This window comes from Homo sapiens, chromosome 2 (assembly GCF_000001405.40).
Source record: "Homo sapiens chromosome 2, GRCh38.p14 Primary Assembly".
Taxonomy (NCBI): domain Eukaryota; kingdom Metazoa; phylum Chordata; class Mammalia; order Primates; family Hominidae; genus Homo; species Homo sapiens.
The window spans coordinates 232614456-232637427 of record NC_000002.12 but is presented as its reverse complement, the minus strand read 5'-3'; the positions used below and the strand labels follow the sequence as shown (position 1 = coordinate 232637427).

Below are 22972 nucleotides of genomic sequence, written 5' to 3'. Positions count from 1 at the left end.
AGCTTGCAGCGAGCCAAGATCGCACCACTGCACTCCAGCCTGGGCAATGGAGTGAGACTCCATCTCAAAAAAAAAAAAAAAAAAGGAAGGCCATGTGAAGACACAGAAACACACACAGGGAGAGCACCAGGTGCTCAGGGTGGCAGAGATTACGGTGATGCGCCCATACCACAAGAAATACCAAGAATTCTGGCAACCACCAGAAGCCAGGAAACAGGCACAGAAGGAGTCTTCGCTGGCGCCTCAAGGGCAGCACAGCCCGGCTGACACGTTGGTTTCAGACTTGTCAGACTTCTGATTTCCAGAACTATGAGAGGATATACTTCTGTTGTTTTATGCTACCCACTTTGTGGCATTTCATTCAGGCAGCTCTAAGAAACAAACGACCTCACCCAGCAGCAGAGGAGCTAACGAGTTCCTTCCGCAGAACCCGGAAGGGCAAAGCACACAGTCCCACGGGGACCCGGAACTCACCAAGAGGCCAGGTCACCACTCCACAGCTCAAACTGTGGGCTAAATCAGGTTCAAAAGATAAAGTGGACTCAGCAAAGTGAATTATTAAACAAAAAAGGACAACACAAAATGTGTACTTTTTTTATTTTTTTGAGACGGAGTCGCACTCTGTTGCCCAGGCTAGAGTGCAATGGCGTGATCTCGGCTCACTGCAACCTCCACCTCCCAGGTTCAAGCGATTCTCCTGCCTCAGCCTCCTGAGTAGCTGGATTACAGGCGTGTGGCACCATGCCTGGCTAATTTTTGTATTTTTAGTAGAGACGGGGTTTCACCACGTTGATCAGGCTGGCCTCGAACTCCTGACCTCATGATCCGCCTGCCTCAGCCTCCCAAAGTGCTGCGATTACAGGTGTGAGCCACCACACCCAGCCAAATGTGCACATTTACCCAAATTATGGATATGTGATAATCTAAAAATTAGGGGCTAAAATCCACCTGGCCTTCACCATAGGCTGAAACATGGAGCTAAATGCATCACATACATGAATTAATTTAATCCCCACAATAACCCCACATGGCAGGTCCTGTGCTTTCCCATTTGACAGAAGGGAAAACTGATGGCACAGAGCTTTTAAATAAGCTGCCCAAGGAACCTTCCAGGGAGCAAGTGGTGGGGCTGGGGTTTGAACCCAGGAAGCCTGCCTCCAAGTGCTCACTCTTCACAGCCTCACAAGACTGCTGCTGCCATGAGTAAAATCTGGAAGGTAATCCAATAGAAAACAAATTGGTGTGTTACATTTTCTTTAGTGTTTTTAACATTCTTATGTTATTAATTTAAGCTGTTGTGGCCATACCACCACCACCAAGGATGAGCCATCTGAGAACGGGGACAACGCAGAGAGGAAGGTGGCTTAACAAAAAGAGAAACTAAGCACTGATGGCAGCACCTAAGCGCCTAGATCCAGCCACACCTGAAGCTAGTGATGGCTTTTTGGTTTCCTCAGCCAAATTATTCTCGTTTTGTTTATGCCAATTTTGGTTGCAAGTGACAGAAAACTCAACCTAGAAAGAAATACCAAGTACTGGTTGAACTGTTAGCTCTGCTGGGATCCCAGGCCACACACTGCCTTCCCCTTGGCTTTTTTTTTTTCCCCTTGAGACAGAATCTCCCTCTGTCACCCTGGCTGGAGTGCAATGGTGTGATCTCTGCTCACTGCAACCTTTGCCTCCCAGGTTCAAGCAATTCTCCCACCTCAGCCTCCCGAGTAGCTGGGACTACAGGCCCGCGCCACCACTCCCGGCTAATTCTTGGATTTTTAGTAGAGATGGGGTTTCACCATGTTGGCCAGGCTGGTCTTGAACTCCTGACCCCAGGTGATCCGCCTGCCTCGTCCTCCCAGAGTGCTGGGATTACAGCCGTAAGCCACTGTGCCCGGCTCCCCTTTGCGTGATCCTGGTCCAGTACCTGTTTGCTCACAGATGCCACCTTGCTTCGTCTCCCAAGACCCTCTGAGCATATGGACTCTTTTTATCACTCTTAGGTAGTCAACTACAAGTTGATCTTTCCAAAGATTGTTTTATAGGAAAAACAAAAGAAGCCTGAGTGGCCACAAGAAAACTTGAAGATAAAGGTCCCTCCCCAAGATCCCCTGAATCCAGCTGGACTGGGAGGAACTGGTGGGGTCTGGGAGCAGCCCGGCCAGGGCAGTCTTCCCATGAAAGGCATTACCCCAGAGAAATCAAAGGGCTCCAACAAACCTTGCCTCACCCATTGCTTTTCCATTTTCGCCCCAGCCGCATTCTTTAGCGCACTGGGCCTTCCTGAACTGCCCAAACTAGACCCAGAAAACGCCACAGATCAGTGCCTGGAAGCCAGACAAAGAAACCAGGGTGTCAGGGAGGCAGAGGAGGCGGAGGCTCCCAAGTGCCGGCTCTGCAAACCTCCATGCAGGGGCAGCGGAGGCTCAGGCGACGCAGCGCCAGTCACAGCGCCTTTAAATAGAACCTCCACGCGGAGGGCAAACACATTCCATGCGCTTTTAAAAACGCCCAAGCATGACCTGGCCGGCGGCCTCAGCTCCCCCAGGCATTTTTCCGGTCTCGGCTCAATTCTGGAAATATTAATAGCTCGGTTAAGAGCTTACCGGGTGCAAAATACTTTTCGGCCTTAAAAGGCAGGGACTGTTACTGCTCCCACTCTCCAGATGAGGAAACTGAGATCCCCGGAGGTTCCAGGCGACGAGGTGGACTAGTGGGTCTCTATCGCCTGCCTCTGGCTCAGTGTCTCCCCAGGTGAGCGGCTCCCCGCGCACTGGGGCTCACAGAGCAGGACCGCAACGAGCCCCCGCCGGACCGGTGCCAGCGGCCAAGTTCGGTTCCCACAACCGCCCCCCCTCCCCGCGCCCCCAGGAGGCTCCCGGGCCGCGCCTGCTCCAGGAAAGTCCTGAATCTCTTACAACGACTTTACCAAACTCCCCGTTCTCGGCCTCCGCTCATTCATCAGACCCCGCGCTGCAGCCAAGGATTAACTTTCCCCTTTTGTTTTAAAAGATAAAAGGCCAACAGGGGCTAATTTTTCCCTTGGGGGGATACAGTGAAAGCTGGCAGGTGAGGCGCGGCGACGGCTCCCTTTCCTAGAAGTTGCTTTCGGAGCAAATCTCCGGACTGGCGGGCGGAGGGGGCGGGACCAGTGGTCGGGGTTGGGGGACCTGGAACTCGGGCCCGGCAGCCGCCGAGAACTTTTGGGCTCCGTCCCGGAGAGCTCCTGCTCCTGGTGTCCCCCCTCTTCGGCCCCGTCCCCCACCGCGCCGAGATAGACCCGAGCACGCAAGATCTGGCTGCGTTGGGCCAAATGCTACCTGCACCCCGGGACCCCTCCCCACACAAACAGGGCCCGGGACTTCGGACCAGAAAGCCCTCCCGCTCCCTCCCTGGTCCCGGGGGCGAAGGGCGCGCAGCGGGAGCTCACAGTTTGAACATGCTCTCCAGGTCCTTGATGAGGCGGCGGCTGAACTCCGGGAACTCCGTGTAGGGGTTGAAGACCCTGCAGCGCCGGGGCCGCGCAGCGCCCTCGTTGATGTCCAGCCGCCGGCTCAGCTGGGCGCTCAGCTCCGCGTCGGCGCTGGCCGTGGGCGCACGGGCGGGAGGCTCGGGCTCGGGCTTGGGCTCCGGGGCTGGGGCGCCGAGGGGAGCCAGCTGGGGGCCACTCTCCTCGGCCTCCTCGCGCCGCAGCCGGCGCTCCAGCTTGCACGCCAGCTCCTCACTGGCCATGGCGGCGGATCGCAGGACGCGGGAACGCGGGGACGCGGGACGGGACGCAGGGAGCTGGCGGGCGGCGCGCTCCTCGCAGGCTCGAGGCTCTACAACACTCCGCCGAGGCGGCGGGGACCCGGCGGTTGGGAGGGTCTGAGGACGGACTGGCGGGCGGGGCGGTCGGGGCGGAGCTGCGGCTTTAAGGAGGCGCCAGGGCTCAGCGACTGCCAGCCTGGTGGGAGGAGGCCGCCGGTGTCTGGGTGTCTGCGCGTCCCGGAGACCCCGACCTGCTTCCTCTCCCCGCGGCTCCGGGCGGGAGGCTGACCGTCCCCCCGGGACCAGGCAGGGACCCTCGGATCAACTCCGACCTTGCTGCCCCTGTCAGCTCCGGGGAAAACCGTAGCGGGAAAAAGCGTCTCGACCGTTCAGACGGTGCCTTTCTTGTCCCCCAGAAGTAACCCGACTGGAAGCGCTCGCGGCCCGGGACAGGCTGGGTGGGGGAGGCGAGCGCCCCCGAGCGACACCCACGCGTCCCCCGCGTCTGGGAGTGGTGCCCACCCTCCCCGGGGTCAGGGAGTGGGAGGCGCCCGCCCGGAGCGTGGGGCGGGGGAGCTGCTTTTCAAACACTCATTGGAACGAAATGTTTCCAAAACATGCTAAAAATACTAAAAACAAATAAGCAAACAAAAAAGAGAGAGAGCAAACGAGCAGAAAAAACTCCCGTTTTCCCTAGAGGCAGGAAAGCAGCGTAGCTTCAGGGACTCGGGTTTTTTTGCGTGAAACGCACAAGAAAAGAGAAGAAACCTGGCGCGGAGACTCACATCCGCAATCCCAACACTTAGGTGTTGGTGGCAGGATCTTTTGAGCCCAGGAGTTCGAGACCAGACTGGGCAACATAGTTAGACTGTCTCTACAAAAACTTTTAAAAAATCAGCCAGGCATAGTGGCGCTCGTCTGTAGTCCCAGCTACTCAGGAGGCTGAAGTAGGAGGATGGCTTGAGCCCGGGAGGTCGAGGCTGCAACGAGCCATGGTCAGGCCACTGCACTCCAGCCTGGGCGACAGAGTGAGACCCTGGCTCTAAAAATAAACGAAGAAGAAGGAGGGAGAGGGGGAGGAAAAAAGAAAGGAAAGAAGGAAAAGAAGCTTGAAAATTAAATCAGCATTTTTAACAAGAGGGTAAAAACAAATACAGTCGTCATTCTCCCCAAGGAAGGCTGATGCCGCTGTTACATCAGCCAGGCGTTGAGAATCTTGTAAACACGGGTCTGTCCCCACTTGAGAACGACGCTGCTCTGACCCACCATGGGCTGATGACTGGGGCAGGTCAGTGACCCCGCTGGACTATGGTTGTCTGAGACCCAGGGACCAGCCTTTGGCATGCGAGTGCAGGGCATGCGGGGGACCTGGGTTAAAATGTTATTTTTAAAAAGTTATAAAGGAAAATACGTTTTTTAAAGAAAAGTATAAAAATCTTTAACATTCCTACTGAACAACTTGACTTGGTACAGAGAATACGGGTTTTACATATACAATGGCAACCCTGCAAATAGATCACGGGGCGCTACACTTCCTGACCTGGTGGTGGTGACTAGAAGGTTGGCTTTGTTGTCACATCTGTTTTGACCACTTTATGTGACACATTTCAGAGAAATAAGGTCAAAAATTTTGTGTAATTAAACTTTTTTTAATTTTATATTTTAAAAACTTTTTTTTTTTTTGAGATGGAGTTTCATTCTTGTTTCCCAGGCTGGAGTGCAATGGCATGATCTCGGCTCACTGCAGTCCCTGCCTCCTGGGTTCAAGTGATTCCCCTGCCTCAGCCTCCTGAGTAGCTGGGATTACAGGCGCCCACCACTGCACCTGGCTAATTTTTTGTATTTTTAGTAGAGACAGGGTTTCTCCATGTTGGCTAGGCTGGTTGTGAACTCCTAGCCTCAGACGATCCTCCCACCTCGGCCTCCCGAAGTGCTGGGATTACAGGCATGAGCCACCACACCCAGCTGGTTTTGTTTTTGTTTTTTTTTTTTTTTAATGTTCTTATTCCATCGAGCTCTCCTCAAGAAAGAAAAAGTTCAAAATTCTTAATAGTCTCCATCAACAAGAAACTCTGGGGCTGGGCGCGGTGGCTCACACCTGTAATCCCAGCACTTTGGGAGGCAGAGGCAGACGCATCACTTGAGCCCAGGAGTTTGAGACCAGCTTGGGCAACATGGCAAAACCTTGTGTACAAAAAAAGATAAAATAAAAAATAAAAATAAAATAAAAAACAACTAGCCAGGTGTGGTAGTATGCACCTGTAGTCCCAGCTATTTGGGATCACTTGGGCCCGGGAGGTGGAGGCTGCAGTGAGCCATGATCATGCCACTGCACTCTAGCCTGGGTGGTAGAGTAAGACCTGTCTGAGAGAGAGAGAGAGACAGAGAGAGAGAGAGAGAAAGAAAGAGAGAGAGAGAGAGAGAAACTTTGCATGAGTAGGTAATACAATTTTTTTTTTAAGACGGAGTTTTGCTCTTGTTGCCCAGGCTGAAGTGCAGTGGTGCGATCTCGGCTCACTGCAACCTCTGCCTCCCAGGTTCAAGCGATTCACCTGCCTCAGCCTCCCAAGTAGCTGGGATTACAGGCACCCACCACCAAGCCCAGCTAATATTTTATATTTTTAGTAGAGACGGGGTTTCACCATGTTGGCCAGGCTGGTTTTGAACTCCTGGCCCCAAGGAATCCACCTGTCTTGGCTTCCCAAAGTGCTAGGATTACAGGCATGAGCTACTGTGCCCGGCCAGTAATAGAATTTTTAAACCATTTTTTACATGCTGAAATTTACAACAGTTAGTGTTAAAAAAATCTAACAGCTCTTTTTATTTATGAATATAATGTTGAAAATTTTTTAAATTAAAAATGACTTTTTTTCTTTTCTTTCTTTCTTTTTTTTTTTTTTTTAATAGAGATGAGATCTCTCTATGTTGCCCAGGCAGGTCTTGAACTCCTGGGCTCAATTGATCCTATTTGCCTAGGCCTCCCAAAGTGCTGGGATTACAGGGGTGAGCCACGGTGCCCAGCCTTGAAAATTCTGAAATTAATGGGAGTGGATTGTGAACAAAATTTCACTTTTTCATTGAAGTGTTTCCAAATGAGGGAGTGCTTTTAGATAATGCGCTTGCATACTGTGAGCAGTCACCTGGTGCCTCTCAAAAGGCACATCATCTGCAAGGGGCAAAGATTGAGGGCTGTGTCCACCAGGCACCCAGCCTAGACAGAACGCCCTCTGAGCTATGTCCCGCCCCTGAGGGAAAATAGCACAGGCCCACAGTATTCACCAGGCAACACCTGGCCACCCCTCAGAATGAAGTGTTAGTATCTCACTAGTGACAATTCCAGGTGGTCACCGTTACGGCCACAGCCCAAAGCCTGTTCTCCTTCTCCTCTTTTCCGATGTCCAGTCGGGCACCTGACAAAGACTCAAACATGCTTGCTGGGCCGGCTGTGGTGGCTCACACCTATAATCCCAGCACTTTGGGAGGCTGAGGCAGGTGGAACATTTGAGGTGAGGAGTGCAAGACCAGCCTAGACAACATGGTGACAGCCCGCCTCTACTAAAAACACAAAAATTAGCTGGACATGGTGGCATGTGCCTGTAGTCCCAGCTACCTGGGAGGCAGAGGTGGGAGAATCGCTTGAACCTGGGAGGTGGAGATTGCAGTGAGCCAAGATCGAGCCATTGCACTCCAGCCTGGGCGACAGAGACCCTGTCTCAAACAAACAAACAAACAAACAAAAAACATGCTTGTTGAATCATGGGCCAATATCAATCTTACTGTACAAATATGACCCATGTTTTGTAAAACAAATATCTATATATGGAAAAAAAAAACTAAAGGGGGCAAATTATTAACAGTTATAAATGCTAAGAGTCCAGATAATTTTCATTTTCATTTTTTAAATTCTCATTTTTTTTTGGCCGGGCGTGGTGGCTCATGCCTATAATCCCAGCACTTTGGGAGGCCGAGGCGGGTGGATCACCTGAGGTCAGGAGTTCGAGACCAGCCTGGCCAACATGGTGAAACCCCATCTCTACTAAAAATACAACCGTTAGCCGGGCGTGGTGACACGCACCTGTAGTCCCAGGTACTCGGGAGGCTGAGGCAGAAGAATCGCTTGAACTCGGGAGGCGGAGGTTGCAGTGAGCCAAGATGGCACCACTGCACTCCAGCCTGGGAGACAGAGTGAGACTCCATATGAAAAAAAAAAGAAAAAGAAAATCTCATTTTTCTGAATTTCCTACAATGAATGTATAAAACTGTAATCAGAAAATGAAACTTCTTGTTTATAGTGAAGAAGAATGGAGGGCGGATGTTTTGCTGTAGAGCAGCTGAAAATGTTTTGTCTGTGTCATCCCATGAGCTCATTTATTTCACTAACATTCTGGGGTGGCCAAAGGAGGTTCTGCCTTTCCCAGGGAAAATAAAATCATTGTTTTCACTCCAAGACTTCTTGTTCAGTTCTATTGCTGTGTAACAAACCATCCCTGAAGGTAGCGGCTTCAAACATTTATTTTGCTCACAGATGTCCAATTTGGGCAGAGTTTTGTGGGGAAATCTCTGCTCTAATACACTTATCAAAAGCAGGGGGCTGTGCTAAGGCTGGAGGCAAGAACCACCTGCAGACTCCCTCCCTCACATGTCCCAGGATCCGTGCCGGCTCCAGCTGGGCCCTTCACTGGGGCTGTTGGCTGAAACACCCACACGTGGCCTCTCCACGTGGCCTGGGCTTCCTCTCAACATGGTCACTAGGCTCCAAGGGTAGGCTTTCCAAGAGGGAGAGTCCGGTAGCAGCTGTATCACCTTTTGTGATGTAGCCTCAGAAGTCACATAGCTGAACTCTATAGGCCAAGCCAGTGACAAAGGGGAGGGAGCATAGTTCGAGGAGAGGGATCATAGACCCCTACCTCTCCAGGGAGAAATTGTGGCCATTTTTTGGATGTTATAATCTGCCTGCCCGCCCTCTGAAAATCCCTGCAGAATTGAGTCAGAATGGAGATTTGAGTCTCAAATCCCTGCGGAATTGAGTCCATTTCTGTGGCATCTGGACAAGAAAAGATTTCTCTTTCAGCCCCGATAGGTCAGTACGGGCCTCTGAGTCCTGTGGGAAAGTCTGATCTGCAAGTCACAAAGAAGTCAGAATGAACTAAATTCCAGAAAGGGAAGAGCAAAACCCCAGGGCTGCTTTCATCCCTAGAGGTATTCCCTCCCACTTGTTTTTGGATTGTCAACTTCTTTCTTGAACAAGTCAAAATTTCAGGATTTTGATTTGTTTTAGAGCAAAAGGTTTTGACTTTTATAAACATTGTTAAGCATTTCATGTCATGGCCAGGCACAGTGGCTCACATGTGTAATCCCAGCACTTTGGGAGGTCAAGGTAGGTAGATCATCTGAGGTCAAGAGTTCAAGACCAGCCTGGCCAACACGGTGAAACCCCGTCTCTACTAAACATACAAAAATTAGCTGGCCTTGGTGGCAGGTGCCTGTAATCCCAGCTACTCAGGAGGCTGAGGCAGGAGAATCACTTGAACCTGGGAGGCAGAGGTTGCAGTAAGCCGAGATCACGTCACTGTACTCCAACCTGGGCGACAGAGTGAGACTCCATCTCAAATAAATAAATAAATGTAAATAAATAAAACATTGTTAAGCACTTCATTTTGGTGCAGAGTCTTCATTCCATGTTTCTTCCTGCCGTGCCTCATTAAATTGTAAATATTCTAACATTAGATAGTGACGATGGTTTTACAACTCTGGAAATACACCAAAAACCACTGAATTGTACACTTCAAAATGATTAGTTTTACAAAAAAATAACAAACAAAAAAAGGATGAGTTTTATGATAAGTGAATTATATCTCCATAAATCTTAGTTTAAAAATAATATAATAATAAGCCATTACATATTAACATAAATAACATTGATAAGAAGAGAGAAGAGAGGCATTGTTTTACATTTTTGCAAGTATCTTTTGCAAATATAGAAGACATTTGCAAAAATTTCTTTTGCAAATGTCTTCTACATCTGGCTTAATAGAAGATAGTTAGATATCACATCTGCTCCTGCATTTGATTTGTTGCAATTTGTTTTGTTTGAAGTATATGAAGAAAATCCAATCTTCCACAGGTCGCTGGAAATACAGTTGGATATATAGCTGAAAAAAGGGAGGTGTCATTTAATAGGCTTTTCAGATAATGGTGGATATTCTTCTTTGATATGACACCAAAGCTTAGGCAAGTAGTGATTTCTTGAGGTTTAGTTGCAATGTGGAAACTGAAAGTACATGAACAAACTTTACGTACTCTGTTTCAGAAAAATCTGTTGCTCTGTCTTGCACATTTAAGATCCATGACCTATGCATATTTTTGTACCATTGGCTATGTTGACATATTTTACTTACATGATATTAAAGTTTTCCAAAATTCTAGTTTTTTTTTTTTTTCTGTTTGTGTTTTTTTAAGACAGGGTTTCATTCTGTCACAAAGGCTAGAGTACAATGGCACAATCATAGCTCACTGCAGCCTCAAACTCCTGGGGTTAAGTGATCCTCCTACCTCAGCCTCCCTAGTAGCTGGGACTACAGGTGTGTGCCACCACAACTGGCTAATTAAAAAAAAAAAAAAATATATATATATATATATATATATATATAGAGAGAGAGAGAGAGAGAGAGACAGGATCTCACTATGTTGCCCAGGCTGGTCTTGAACTTGGGGCTCAAGTGATTCTCCTGCCTTGACCTCCCAAAGTGCTGGGATTACAGGCAAGAGCCATCATGCTCGGCCCAAAATTCTAGTTTTTCTCTGAAGCTCACATTTTATTGTTATTGGAAAGTACTATCAATTGTTTACCTTGAAGTGACAGGCTCACTTTGTTCATTGTTCTAGACAGTGTCTCTGAATACCCAACTGTGAATAGCCATGGATTGTCAGCTGTGCTTCCAGGCAAAATTCATGTTTCCTGAAAGGGGAGCTAGTTCAGCTCACAAACAACAGCACAAATGCTTTTCTCAAGATGACTAACAGACTTTCATCTGCAGCAGAAGGGCTTTATGTTCACTTTCCATCCATTACACCAAATATTAAAAAGGTGTGTACTTAAGGATCAAAATTTATAAATAAATAAATTAATTAATTAATTTTAGGCAAGTTATCATTCTGTCACCCAAGCTGGGGTGCAGTGGCTCAATATTGGCTCACTGCAACCTCCACCTCCCGGGTTCAAGCAATTCTCATGCCTCAGCTTCCAGAGTAGCTGGGATTATAGGCATGCACCACCACGCCCAGCTAATTTTTTTGTATTTTTTATAGAGGTGAGGTTTCACCATGTTGGCCAGGCTGGTCTTGAACTCCTGATCTCAAGTGATCCGCCTGCCTCAGCCTCCCAAAGTGCTGGGATTGCAAGCGTGAGCCAACATGCCCAGCCTCAAAATTTAATAAAATTAAAAACTATTTTCCTGCTTCATCAAGGATATATATATATTTTTTTCTTTTTTTGGACACAAGGTCTTGTTCTGTCACCCAGGCTGGAGTGCGGTGTTGTGATCATGGCTCACTGCAGCCTCAACCTCCCGGGATCAAGCAATCCTCCTACCTTAGCCTCCCAAGTAGCTGGGACTACAGACAGGTACATGCCACCAACCTGGCTAATTTTTGTATTTTTGTAGAGACGTGGTCTTGCCATGTTGCCTAGGTTGATCTGGAACCTTGAGCTCAAGCAATCCTCCCGCCGCAGCCTCCCAAAATGCTGGGATTACAGGTGTGAGTCACCACGTCCAGCCTCAAGGACATTCTTAAATGCAATTAATTTTTTTTTAAATGAGGAGTGTATGATGGTGAAGAGTACAATAACTCCTGGTATAGTTTGATGCCACTGCCTTAATTCAGGCTAAGGTGATGTCAGGTTTACCCACCATTCCTTTCGCATCATGGGTACAAATGTCAACACATTGAAAAAGGCAAATACTGTCTTAGTATTATGAAAATGGTTCTCAGAGGTATGTGGAGCACTTTGAGGAATCATTAATCTACCTTATTTCTTTTACTGGCAGCTGAGTATTCTGTTCTCTGTGTGTAGCATCCGTTAACTAACCTGTCCCTGTTGGTGGACATTCAAGGTCATTTCTATATTTTGTTATCTACACAGTATTGCAAAGAGCAGAGGGTAGACTCCCATCCTAAGCGGCTTTTGGGTTGGAAGTTGAAAAATCTCATATATTCAGGCATGCATATATTGCTTCAATCAACAAATAGGAAGTCAGACCGGGTACGGTGGCTTGCCCTGCACTTTGGGAGGCCAATGTCGGAGGATTGTTTGAGCCTAGGAGTTCAAGACCAGTCCTGGGCAACATAGCGAGATCCCATCTCTGCCAAAAAAAAAAAAAAATGTTTAAATTAGCCAGGCATGGTGGTGCGTTCCTGTAGTCCCAGCTACTCCGGAGGCTGAGGTGGGAGGATTGCTTGAGCCTAAGAGATCAAAGCCGCAGTGAGCTGTGATTGCGCCACTGCACTCCAGCCTGGGCGACAGAGTGAGACTTTGTCTCAAAAAACAAACAAACAAATATGAACCCAGTACCAGCAAAATAATACAAAATCCCTGCCTTTATGGCCCACATTCTAATGGGGGAAACAGATAGTCAACAAAATAAATAAAAATCTAGCTTGGATGATAAGTACTAAGATAAAAATAAGTCAGAAAAGCATCTAAGAAAAGTGTGTCGGGAGTGGTGGGGCAAGTTGTAATTTTAGGTAAAATGACCAGGAGGGGCATCATGGAGTCGGTGACATTTAAATCATGACCAGCAGAAAGTGAGGGGGTCTAACAGTGAATTGAGGGCTAGAACTGAAAAACAGAGGCTGTAAGCGTGGAGCTCCTCCTTTTTTGCCAGCATCTTCTGGCAATTGTGTCCTTTCCTCTAATTCTTTCCCTATAGATGTTTCTAGATAGCCCTCAATGACTTCACCTTTCCTCCAGGGATGTCTCCTCAAGGGCAAGTTTCAAGCCTTTGTTTACATTTGGGAAACCCTTAAAGTGATTCACACAACTTTCCCCGGCTTGGCTGCCAGTGCCCAGTGGATAGCCCCCAGGCACTAGCTAAATGCGGTTCTCCCCATCTCTTTTATTAGCACAGACTGTGTAAATGAATCCCAGCAAGCCAGACACAAGGGTGCCCCCTGGCATAGGCCCTGGAGCCCCTGTGTTGGCACAGCTGCTGGAGAAATTCCTGGCAGAGAATCAGAGAATCAGGCATCAAGAATAGGGGAGCTTTTAAACTTAGACTCCAGGCGCCAAGCCAGACCCACAGGCTCTAACCCCCAGGTGAGGCCTGGTTCCCAAAGCCCCCTGTGGCTCCTGTCATCCATGTCTGTGGTCTGGGGGGCAAGCTGGGGCTGGGGGACTTTAGGGACTTGATAGGGAGCACCCCCAGGGGGCTGATTAGCAAAGACCTGGGTTCCCTGGGTAGGCTCAGCTCCCCACAGGCTCAGAGAATCAAGAGAACAACAAAGGATTCCAAAATAAAGAAAACATCAGTCTTATTCCTCACCCGACAGGAGCAGCAAAAAACCTATGAGTCCTAAACGGCTGCAGGGAGGGAGAGCAGACCCCACCCCCACAGCCCTGGGCATGGCTATAAGAAGATGACCCACCTGGCCCCATCTTGTCCCCACCCATGCCCTTCAGGGGCTGGCACCGCCCTAGGAAGCTCCATCCTCCCAGCTGTCTGCCCCTACATCTGGTCGGTCAACTCTTGGTTCTGGCCCCTGGGGCGATTCTGCTCTCTCTTCCCCTTCTCTGCACAGGCCTGCACACAGCTCTCACCTGGGGGGCCAGGAGGCAATGCTTTCCTCTGAAGGAGCTCAGCCCTCTGCCCACTTGTCCTCCCTTCACTCACGCAGGCAGGAAGGACTGGTCGAAGACAGCGCTGTCCAACAGAAATAGAATGAGCTATTTCTTTTTTTTCTTTCTTTCTTTCTTCTTCTTCTTCTTCTTCTTCTTTTTTTTTTTTTTTTTTTTTGGACAGAGACTCACTCTGTCGCCCAGGCTGGAGTGCAATGGCATAATCTTGGCTCACTTACAACCTCTGCCTCTCGGGTTCAAGCGATTCTCCTGTCTCTGCCTCCTGAGAAGCTGGGATTACAGGCACCTGCCACCACACCTGGCTAATTTTTGTATTTTTAGTAGAGACGCGGTTTCACTGTGTTGGCCAGGCTGGTCTCGAACTCCTGGCTTCAGGTGATCCACCCGCCTCGGCCTCCCAAAGTGCTAGGATTACAGGCATGAGCCACAATACCCGGCCTCAGAATGAGCAATTTCATTTGTAATTTTGAATTGAAAATTTTCTAGGCCGGGTGCCGTGACTCACACCAGTAATCCCAGCACTTTGGGAGACTGAAGTGGGAGGATGGATTGTGTCTAGGAGTTTGAGACAAGCCTAGGCAACATGGTGAGACCCCATCTCTACAAAAAATAAAAAATTAGCCAGGTGTGGTGGCACACACCTGTAGTCCCAACTACTCGGGAGGCCAAAGTAGGAGGATCGTTTGAGCCCAGGAGGTCGAGGCTGTAGTGAGCCCTGATCGTGCCTTTGCACTCCAGCCTGGGCAACAGAGCAAGACCCTATCTCAAAAAAAAGAAAAGAAAAGAAAAGAAAAGAAGAAAAGTTTTCTAGTGGCCATATGCTTTTAAAAGTAAAGGAAGAAAAATAAAACAGGTGAAATTAATTTTAATAACATTTAATGTAATCCAATATATGTCCAACATTATCATCCCTACATGTAATCAATATAAAACTATTAATGAGATATTTTACATTACTTTATCTCATGCCAAGGCTTTGTAATGTAGGGTGTATTTTACACTTGCTGCTCATCTCAATCAGACTGGCCACATTTCAAGCACCTGATAGCCACGTGCAGCTGGTGGCAACCTCGTGGAATAGCTCAGGCCCAGAAGGCAAACCGGAGCAGCTGCTGCCTCTCCTGCAACCCTCACTGGAGAGGACGTCCCACCACCGAGCGGCTCTGATCAGGCTTCATCTCTGGCCTCCATTACTTCTCCTCTGAAATCTGCCCCACTCATTACTCCCTCACCTCTCACCAAGGTGTTCAGATTCACACAAATCCGACCCAGGCTCCAGGGATGCTAGACCTGGGGTCTAAATAAATAAAACCCACTGGTCCCAGTTCCCAGATGTCTTCCCCCCCACCCCCGCCCCCAGCGAAACGGAGCTTTGCTCTCATTGCCCAGGCTGGAGTGCAGTGGTATGATCTCAGCTCACTGCAACCTCCGCCTCCCAGGTTCAAGCAATTCTCCTGCCTCAGCCTCCCAAGTAGCTGGGATTACAGGCGTCCGCCACCATGCCTGGCTAATTTTTTGTATTTTTAATAGGGTCGGGGTTTCACCATGTTGGCCAGGCTGGTCTCGAACTCCTGACCTCAGGTGATCCGCCTGCCTCGGCCTCCCAGAGTGCTGGGATTACAGGCGTAAGCCACCATGCCCGGCCCCAGATGTCTTTTATTGTTCAAGTCTGGGTCCTGGGCAGCAGGAATTCCGTGGTAGTGGGTAGGGCTGTCTACCCTTTGTAGAGAAGGGTCATGTCCAAAGTTCAAAGGTTTGCCTCGTGCTAGGCACCTGCTGACGGGAGCATTTCTTAAGGAAGTTTGGGGAGATGATACTTCATTCAATTCCCCAAATTCTCTGGCAGTTTTTATATACAGCACAGGACAAATTAACCTTTTGAGTTCTGGTAATAATAAACTATCCTGGCTCTTCCCTTCAGACACAACCAGGAGCCCTCTGTCATGGGCACAGAGGGGTGAGAAGAGGAATTGTATAAATCCTGGCTGTGTCACTCAGAGGCTATATGACTTGGAGTAAGTTACTTAACTTCTTTGAACTTCAATTTCCCCATATATGCAATAGAAATAATGCCCACTGGGCCAGGCACAGTGGCTCACGCCTGTAATCCCAGCACTTTGGGAGGCCAAGGCGGGTGGATCACCTGAGGTCAGGAGTTCGAGACCAGCCTGGTCAACATGGTGAAACCCCGTCTCTACTAAAAATACAAAATTAGCCGGGCATGGTGGCGGGTGCCCATAATCCCAGCTACTTGGGAGGCTGAGGCAGGGGAATCACTTGAACCCGGGAGGTGGAGGTTGCAGTGAGCTGAGATTGCGCCACTGCACTCTAGCCTGGGCGACAGAGTGACACTCCATCTCAAAGAGAAAAAAAGAAAGAAAAAACGAAAGAATACCAATCACAAGACTTAGAAGGATGTTATGACAATCGATGGCCTGTAAAGCACTTAGCTGTTCAGTAAATGTCACTCTGCCGCTGTGTCCCTGTTGCTACAGGCTCAGCACAGGTGGCGGCTGAGGTTGGGGATGGGGGAAATTGGTTCCAGCCACCAGAGATTCTCTGTGTACCCCTTTCATATCTGCAGGCACAGACTACGCCAATTTTGGAGGGAGCGCCTTACAGCCTTCACCCACATCCCTGCTATGCAGACAGCCACTCAGCCACTCATGATTCATGATTTCAAAAGCCCACAGCAGTCAGGGTGGTTTGGAAACAGCAGGGAGCCATATTGCTGCATGACAATGACTTCCATTTGACTTTTGGAAAACCTTGGCCTTAGCAACTGCTTCCATTCCAAATTGGCTGTGTGGCTCAGCTCTTCCTCCCCTTCATTCCTTGCCATCCGTGCCCCTCCCTCTTAGAGAACCCCGACACTCCCTCACCCTGTCCCAAATTCCTCCTATATTCCTAAGCAGATGTGTCCACACCTCCCCAGAACGTGGAACCCAGTTCCTCAGCCTTTCTAAGAATGTGGCTGCTGCTTGGGAATTATGGCCTGTGACATCCTTAGACAAAGGCCCACTGGGTCTGGAGATGAGCGGGGATGGTTTGGCTTTTTCGGAATCTGCAGCACAACATTCACCTATTTACAATTTCAGTTAAGAACAGTCTGTTCCAAGAAAATGTATTTCAAGATTTAATTATGTACACTTAGAGAAGGTATCTTCAATAAATGTATCAAAGTATCCAGAATCTTAAAGGAAAGGGAAGCTCTTACAAAACAATAATAAGGCCTGGCTGGGCAACACAGCCAGACCCTGTCTCTACCAAAAAAAAAATCAGACAGGAGTGATGGCACACACCTGTAGTCCCAGCTACTCAGGAGGCTGAGGCAGGAGGATCGCTTAAGCACAGGAGTTCAAGACTGTGATGAGCTATGATTGCACCACTACCCTCCAGCCTGGGAGACAGAGTGAGACTCTGTCTCTTTTTTTTTTTTTTTTGAGATGGAGTCTCGTTTTGTCGCCCAGGCCGGACTGCAGTGGCGCTATCTCTGCTCACTGCAACCTCCACCTCCCGGGTTCACGCCATTCTCCTGCCTCAGCCTCCCGAGTAGCTGGGACTACAGGTGCCTGCCACCGCGCCCGGCTAATTTTTTGTATTTTTAGTAGAGACGGGGTTTCACTGTGTTAGCCAGGATGGTCTTGATCTCCTGACCTCGTGATCCACCCGCCTCAGCCTCCCGAAGTGCTAGGATTACAGGCGTGAGCCACCGCGCCCGGCCGAGACTCTGTCTCTTAAAAAAAAAAAAAATGACATCATTATGCTAATTAGCAAATCAAGCTTAGATTATTGATAAAGCTATGGATCACAGAAAGACTTGTATTAGCCACATCTGGAGTGAGACCCTGCTGATACGATAGTGGCTCATACCCCTGGAGCCTGTGCATTCTTTTGTTTTTTAATATATATTTTTTATTTTAATTGAGTCAGGGATCTCGCCCTGTTGCCCAGGCTGGAGTGCAGTGGCCTGATCATAGGATCATAGCTCAATGCAGCCTTGAACTCCTGGGCTCAAGTGATCCTCCCACCTCAGCCTCCTGAGTCTCTGGCATTACAGTTCCAGGCCACTGCACCAGGCTCCAATTCACCATTTTGATGCGTACAATTCAGTGGCATCCAGAGCTTTCCTAGTGTTGCGCAACCACCACCTCTTTCTAGTTTCAAAATTTTTTCATCATTCCAGAAAAATACCAAGTACTTCCTTAAGAAATCACTCTTGGCTGGGCACAGTGGCTCACACCCGTAATTCCAGCCTTTGGGAGGCTGAGGCAGGTGGATCACCTGAGGTCAGGAGTTTGAGACCAGCCTGGCCAACATGGTGAAACCTCGTCTCTACTAAAAATACAAAAATTAGCCGGGCATGGTGTCAGGCGCCTGTAATCCTAGCTGCTCCAGAGGCTGAGGCAGGAAAGTCACTTGAACCCAGGAGGCAGAGGTTGCAGTGAGCCGAGATCGCGCCATCACACTCCAGCCTAGGGAAAAAGAGCGAGACTTCATCTCAAAAAAAAAAAAAAAGAAAGAAAGAAAGAAATCACCCTTTATTTCCCCCTCCTCCCATCCCCTGGCAACAACCAATCTGCTTTTCTGTCTTTACATTTTGCCCATTCTGGTTAATTCTTATTTGTTTGTTTGTTTGTTTATTTATTTATTTATTTATTTATTTATTTATATTTTGAGATGGAGTTTTGCTCTTGTTGCCCAGGCTGGAGTGCAATGGCGCGATCTCGGCTCACTGCAAATTCTGCCTGCCTCCCAGGTTCAAGCGATTCTCCTGCCTCGGCCTCCGGAGTAGCTGGGATTACAGATGCCTGCCACCATGCCTGGCTAATTTTTGTTTTGTATTTTTAGTAGAGATGGTGTTTCACCATGTTGGTCAGGCTGGTCTCAAACTTCTGACCTCAGGTGATCCACCCACCTTGGCCTCCCAAAGTACAGGGATTACAGGCATGAGCCACCACGCCTAGCCAATCCGGTTACTTCATACCAAAATAATTATATAATATGTGACCTTTTGTGTCTGGCCTCTTTCATTCTTCATAATGTTTTTGAGGTGCATTCAAGTTGTAGCATGTATTTCCCTTTTTTCAAAATTTTTTTTTTTTTTTGAGACAGAGTCTTGCTCTGTCACCCAGGCTGGAGTGCAGTGGTGCAATCATGGCTCACTGCAGCCTCTACCTCCTAGGCTCAAGCAATCCTCTTACCTCAGCCTCCCGGGTAGCTGGGACTACAAGATGCATGCCACCACACCCAGCTAAGTTTTGTATTTTTAGTAGAGACAGGGTCTCAACATGTTGCTCAGGCTGGTCTCAAACTCCTGGACTCATGTGATCAGCTGCCTTGGCCTCCCAAAGTTCTGGGATTATAGGCGCACGCCACCACACCCAGCTGCATGTATTTCCTTAATGACTAATAACGTTGAGCACGTGTTCCTGTGCTTATTAGCTATTTGTATATCTTCTTTGGAATAATGTCTGTTCAAATCCCTTGTCCATTTTAAAACTGGTTTATTGCCGGGCATGGTGGCTCACACCTGTAATCCTAGCACTTTGGGAGGCCAAGGCAGGTGGATCACCTGAGGTCAGGAGTTCCAGACCAGCCTGGCCAAAATGGTGAAAGCCCATCTCCACTAAAAGTACAAAAATTATCCGGGCACGGTGGTGTGCACCTGTAGTCCCAGCTACTCTTGAGGCTGAGGCAGGAGAATCACTTGAACCCAGAAGGCAGAGGTTGCAGTGAGCCGAGATCAAGCCACTGCACTCCAGCCTGGGTGGCAGAGCGAGACTCCATCTCAAATAAATAAATAAATTAAATTAAATTGGTTTATTTATCTTTTTACTGTTGAGTTATAAGGGTTTTTAGAATATATTCTTTTTTTTTTTTAGACTGAGTCTTGTTCTGCCACCCAGGCTGGAGTGCCGTGGCACGATCTTGGCTCACTGTAACCTCTGCCTCCCAGGTTCAAGCGATTCTCCTGCCTCAGCCTCCGGAGTAGCTGGGATTACAGGCACCCACCACCACACCTGGCTAATGTTTTGTATTTTTAGTAGAGACAACCATGGCTGGTCTTGAACTCCTGACCTCAGGTGATCCACCTGCCTTGGCCTCCCAAAGTGCTGGGATTACAGGCATGAGCCACCGTGCCCAGCCCTGGCAGCATTCTTTTTTTTTTTTTTTTGAGACGGAGTCTCGCTCTGTTGCCCAGGCTGGAGTGCAGTGGGCGATCTCGGCTCACTGCAAGCTCCGCCTCCTGGGTTCACGCCATTCTCCTGCCTCAGCCTCCCGAATAGCTGGGACTACAGGCGCCCACCACCACGCCTGGCTAATTTTTTTGTATTTTTTTTTAGTAAAGACGGGGTTTCGCCGTGTCAGCCAGGATAGTCTCGATCTCCTGACCTCGTGATCCACCTGCCTCAGCCTCCCAAAGTGCTGGGATTAAAGCGTGAGCCACTGCGCCCGGCCAGCATTCTTGATACATACTGAGTTAAGGGTTTACCAGCATACACATAACATTTCACTGTTGATGCTGAAGTTTGTTAAAGTACGTACATTGCAGTAAAGAAGCAATTCATAAAAGTGGTGACTTTGTCACTTCTGAGACTAGGTCATAAAAGGCCACATGGCCTTACCTGCTGGGGACACTTGTTTTGGAACCCTGAACCACCGCGAATGGAATCTGATTGCTTGGAGGCTGCCATGCTGAAAGTGCCACATGGAGGGCTCCAGTCAATGGGCCCCGAAGAGCCCGTCCTTGGGCCATCCCAGCTCAGGTCCCACACGTGTGAGTAAACGCATGGTCTTGGAAGTAGATTATCTGTCTCTAGCCCTTCCAGCCCTACTCACTAGGGTCGCCTCCAGATGAGGCCTCAGACATCCTAGTGCAAGAGAAGGGCAACCTTGCCTGTGCCCAAACTCCTGACCAGGGAACCCAGGAAATCACACAATGGGGGTGCCTGCTTTATGCCACTAAGTTTATGTTTTAAATTTGTGGTAAATTACAGCTAAAATTTACCATCATCTTAACCATTTTTAGGTGTACATTTCAGCAGTATTAAGTACATCCACATTACTGTGCAATAGATCTCCAGAGCTTTTGTATCCTGTAAAATTGAAATTCTTACCCATTAAATACCCACTCTCCATCCCCCATTCCCAGCCCTATGCAACCACCATTCTACTTCTGTCTCTCTGAATTTGACTACTTTAGAGACCTCATATAAGTGGCATCATGTGGCTAGGTGTGGTGGCTCACGCCTGTAATCCCAGCACTTTGGGAGGCCGAGGTGGGTAGATCACCTGAGGTCAGGAGTTCAAGACCAGCTTGACCAATATGGTGAAACCCCATCTCTACTAAAAATACAAAAATTAGCTGGGTGTGGTGGCGTGTGCCTGTAATCCCAGCTACTCAGGAGGCTGAGACAGGAGAACTGCTTGAACCCGGGAGGCGGAGGTTGCCGTGAGCCGAGATTGTGCCACTGCACTCCAGCTTGGGCGACAGAGTGAGACTCTGTCTCAAAAAAAAAAATAAATAAAGTGGTATCGTGCAGTATTTGTCCTTTTGTGACTGGCTTATTTCACTGAGCATGTCTCAAGGTTCATCCACGTTGTCTCAGGTGTCAGAATTTCCTCCCTGTCGAAGGCTGAGTAATACTGCGTTTTCTCTATACCCCAGGTTTGATTTCTCCATTCATCTGTCGGCAGACTCTTGGATGGTTTCCACCTTTTGGCTGTGTGAGTAAGTCGGCTATGAACATGGCACGCCACTAAAATTTTGATTCTAGGTGTTGTTATACCACAACAAACGGCTGGAACAATGTTGCGCCTCAATAAAAATGTATTTTAGGGGCTGGGCTCCGTGGCTCACGCCTATAATCCCAGCACTTTGGGAGGCCAAGGTGGGCAGATCACCTAAGGTCGGGAATTCAAGACCAGCCTGACCAACAAGAAGAAACCCCATCTCTACTAAAAATACAAAATTAGCCGGGCCTGGTGGCGCATGCCTGTAATCCCAGCTACTCGGGAGACTGAGGCAGGAGAATCACTTGAGCCCGAGAGGTGGAGGTTGTGGTGGGCTGAGATTGCACCATTGCACTCCAGCCTGGGCAACAAGAGCGAAACCTCGTCTCAAAAAAAAAAAAAAAAAAAAGGAAAAGAAAAAGAAAATGTATTTTTAAAAACGACTACACTATTTTTTAAAAAGTGTTACTCAGCAAAGCCTTCCTTCAAAGGTCAGGCGTCCTGCAGACTCTCAGAGCATGCAGGCCCGTGATCTCTTGAAGAAACAAAACCCCTCTGTGCCTGACAGTACCATCCAGAGGTCAATCCACATAAACAAGAGCAGGCAGGGAAAAGCTGCAGAAGGTCGAGGTGAGCACCAAATCTATTTAAAAGTAAAGGCGAAATAAGAGGGAGAATTATGGTTACTCTGGTGCGTAAATACAGTATCAACCTTGACCTTCTAAGAAAAAATATGTAAATACACACACACACACACACACACACACACACACACACACACTATAGTTGACACTTGAACAATGCAGGGGGTTAAGGATGCCCCCCCAACAGTAAAAAATCCTAATATAACTTTTCATTCCCCAACAAGTTAACTGCTAATAGCCTGCTATTGACAGAAGCCTTGCCTATAGCGCAAACAGTCAGTTAACACATATTTCGAGCTGTAAGTGGTGGTGGGTGCATGTAGTCCCCTCTACTTGGGAGACTAAGGTGGGAGGATTGCTTGAGCCCAGGAGGTGGAGACTGCAGTGAGCCATAGTCCTGCCATAGCAACTCCAGCCTGGGTATCAAAGAGAGACCCATCTTTAATAAATAAATACAAATCATTTTTCTTTTTTGAGACACAGTCTCACTCTGTCACCCAGACTGGAGTGCAGTGGCGCAATCCCGGCTCACAGCAGCCTTCATCTCCTGGGCTCAAGCGATCCTCCTGCCTCAGCCTCTCGAGTAGCTGGGACTACAGGTGTGCACCACCATACCTGGCTAATTTTTGTATTTTTTGTAGAGTCAGGGTTTCACCATGTTGCCCAGGCTGGTCTCGAACTCCAGGGCTCAAATAATCCACCTGGCTCAGCCACCCAAATTGCTAGGATTACAGGCATTAGCCACTGCGCCTGGCCAAATGATTTTTAAAACTAAAAATAAAAACATTTTAAAAGACCACTCAGCTCCTTTGCCAGAACCTGGGACTCCACAATTGCCAAACAATCCACTCATTCTAATTCTTGAGGGGATTAGAAAGCAGACTTATTTGGTGGGTTCCGTGTACTACACACTGCTTTCCTACAATAAAGTCAGCTACAGAAGACAAAACGTTATCAAGGAAATTGTAAGGAAGAGAAGCTCTATTTACCATTC

General features: G+C 48.4%; 1 protein-coding gene across 3 annotated transcripts in view, besides 2 other annotated features; it reads right to left on the bottom strand.

Moving 5' to 3' along the window:
• The window catches only part of EFHD1 (EF-hand domain family member D1), a 76720-nt gene that overhangs the window by 45349 nt on the left and 8399 nt on the right, over window positions 1–22972 (bottom strand). For 2 of the 3 annotated variants that reach the window (NM_001308395.2, NM_025202.4), the window contains exon 1: window positions 3422–3824. The exons of the other annotated variant lie outside the window; for it this stretch is intronic. Coding sequence is in view for 1 of the 2 variants with exons in the window: in NM_025202.4 (NP_079478.1) it covers window positions 3422–3723 (302 nt within the window). In the remaining variant the exon portion in view is untranslated. Of the gene's footprint in view, window positions 1–3421; window positions 3825–22972 lie in introns of those variants that run through there. 3 annotated transcript variants of the gene reach the window in all.
• Window positions 3355–3649: a silencer, noted in NCBI's record as "tiled region #9991; HepG2 Repressive DNase matched - State 4:PromP, and K562 Repressive non-DNase unmatched - State 4:PromP". NCBI's record gives its function as "represses a minimal TATA promoter and a strong SV40 promoter by Sharpr-MPRA in HepG2 and K562 cells {active_cell/tissue: HepG2 | K562}" and the evidence as "EXISTENCE:reporter gene assay evidence [ECO:0000049][PMID:27701403]".
• Window positions 3727–3786: a silencer, noted in NCBI's record as "silent region_12461". NCBI's record gives its function as "represses an Ori minimal core promoter by ATAC-STARR-seq in GM12878 lymphoblastoid cells {active_cell/tissue: GM12878}" and the evidence as "EXISTENCE:reporter gene assay evidence [ECO:0000049][PMID:35858748]".